Source organism: Homo sapiens, chromosome 10, assembly GCF_000001405.40.
Source record: "Homo sapiens chromosome 10, GRCh38.p14 Primary Assembly".
NCBI classification, from domain to species: domain Eukaryota; kingdom Metazoa; phylum Chordata; class Mammalia; order Primates; family Hominidae; genus Homo; species Homo sapiens.
Window position 1 is genome coordinate 85,098,270 of NC_000010.11, and position 2,482 is coordinate 85,100,751.

The 2,482-nt window shown below is 38.4% G+C and overlaps 1 annotated feature.

Annotated features, from left to right (window-relative positions):
- Positions 477-1,676: an enhancer, noted in NCBI's record as "MED14-independent group 3 enhancer chr10:86858502-86859701 (GRCh37/hg19 assembly coordinates)". NCBI's record gives its function as "activates an origin of replication core promoter dependent on BRD2, BRD4, P300/CBP and CDK7 cofactors, and independent of MED14, by STARR-seq in HCT116 cells {active_cell/tissue: HCT116}" and the evidence as "EXISTENCE:reporter gene assay evidence [ECO:0000049][PMID:35650434]".

Consider the following 2,482-nt stretch of genomic DNA (forward strand, 5'->3'; position numbering starts at 1 on the left):
ACAGTCATCAGGTGAGCTTGTAAATGAAGAGGTACCGAGGAGTGCCAGAAAAGCTACCACTTTTCATCAGTATAATTTAAAAGGGCAGTTGGAACTCCAAGAAATTCAGAGGCAAAGTAGAAGCTGCATATGGGTCCATGTGGCTGAAGCATTCATGTGGGTGTTTCAGGAAGGACCTGGGCACCAACAGGTCAAGAGGGTCCCCTTATTTCCCACTTCCTATCACCCTTGAGAATCTAAGCAATAGGCTTAAGTCAGGTATTGAGAAGAAGGAGAAGAAAATCATTCATTATATCATCAGATTTATAGAAAATATTGATTAGGTTTGATCCTCTCCTCACCTGGTTGCTGTAAAGAAATAATCTGTATAACAAACCCCCATGACACAAGTTTACCTATGTAACAAACCTGCACTTGCACCCCTGAACTTAGAACAAAAGTTAATAAAATAAAAATGTATTTCGATAAGCTAATAAAAATTTATAATAAAAAAGAAAATATTGATTAGATTTGATACCTAAATACTATAGAAAAGTCTCCCTGGATTCTGGACATTAAGAGAAGAACTGGGTAGGAACTTCATTGAAAGACAGTGGATATATCAGTGTGGATAGAGGGAGCAAATGCGGAGTTTGTGAACAAAGTTACCCAATCATGGACTAATAGGGTTTCATTTGTATTTTCTTTTCAGAGGCTTTCAAATCTAAGTAGTATTTCAACTCTGTCTGTGACAGGGGGTGTTTTTTGTCATGCTTTAGAAACCTTCCCCCACTGGGTAACTGCACAGGCTAGAATGGAAATTTCCTGAGGGGACCTTAACTTCTAAAACTGGAGGTGAGGCGTGTGCTTCAACTACCTCAGATGAAATAAAATTAATGTCTTTTTGAGTGAGACACTCTTCTGGATGTCCTGCTCTCTCATTTTATCTTCATATCAACTCTGAAATATTAATAGTATTATTCTCCCTTCACAGATGAGGATAGGTTTATATTTAAAGGACAAATTCTGAACAAAGTTCTTATCGTGAGTACTCTATGAGTCACAGTTTCATAAGGTGAGTCAAATGCCAAAGCCCTGGTCTCCATACTGCACTTCAATGCTTTTTAGGATCCCAATGAAGCTCAGAGGAAATTATTCACTGTTAATATTTTTATTCTTCTTGGTGTTCTCTAAAGTGCTATTTTAATCTCCAATTCACAGAGGAAACCTCAACATAAAGAAAAACAAAGCCTGTGGCATAAGAGAAGCTGTGGACATTTCCCTTATGATCACGCTGAGATCCAAAGCTGGGAAGTCAGTCCCAGCAGCCAAAGGTGGGCAGAGTCTTAAGACAGTATGAATGAGATGGGGCTACAGCTGTACTTCTAATACTTCAGTTGAGAGACAGAAGAGAAAGGCCTTGGGCCCTTTTACAGATATTACTCCTGTGCAGAAAAAGCAAGTGGCAGTACATGACAAATGGAACTAATCTAAAGCTCAGAGGATGAAATCATTTTAGGCCTGAAATGGCAGAGATTAAACTAAGAGCATTCCGGGACTCCGTACATCTCTACTCATATATAGATTTATGGTAACTATGCAATTAAATGTTAGAAAATGGGATTTGATTTAGTACTACTAATTATTTTATTCATTCGCTAATATGTTTATATATTTTTAAATGCATATTGAGCCTATACCATGTATTAAGCACTGGTATTATTAAGCATAATTAGTACACAAAGAAGGTGTGGACTCTACCTCCCTGGGTAGTCTAGTTGAGAAAGTATACAATACACGGTTAAAAAGCCATATGAATATGAAACTATCCATTTGTATAAGTACTATTAATACAAGGGAAACTCATAGAGTGCAATGATGAGAATTAACATGACCTACTCCAAAAGGGTCAGTGGAGAACGTCTTGCTGTGCGATTCAGATCTGAGCCTGCGATAAGGGCAATCCAGGCAAAGAGACTAGGTCTAGAGGGACGAAGGTCTAGAGAGACGAAGGTCTAGAGAGAGAAGGGTGTGTTGCCTTTCAAGAACTAAAACAGTGCATTTGTATTAGATCATGAAGCTCAAGGAAAAGCATGGCAAGGGTGGGCTTTAGGAGGTAAGTTGGGACCTCAGCAATGTGCAAAATTTTGATTTTATTCTCAGTGCATCAGGTAGCTGTTGGAGGCCCCCTGAGAAGGGAATGACATGATCTGATTTACATTTAAATAGCCATTTGTGGATAAAATGGCTGTTTTATCCTCAATGTTTTTCTAAGGGCTTAAATAATAATGAAATGTAGTGGAGCTCTTTTCTAGAAAGCCAATAGAAAAATCTCACCTATTCCCTTTTGTTTCATCTACAGTCAGCTGAATCCCTGATGAACAAAATCACAGAAAAAGGAATTCTTGGTAACCAGTCAATTCAAGTTCTGACTCATAGTCCTGCTGTAACCACAATAAGTTCAACCAGCTGGATTGGTGGCATCTCCTGAAAACAGAAGATA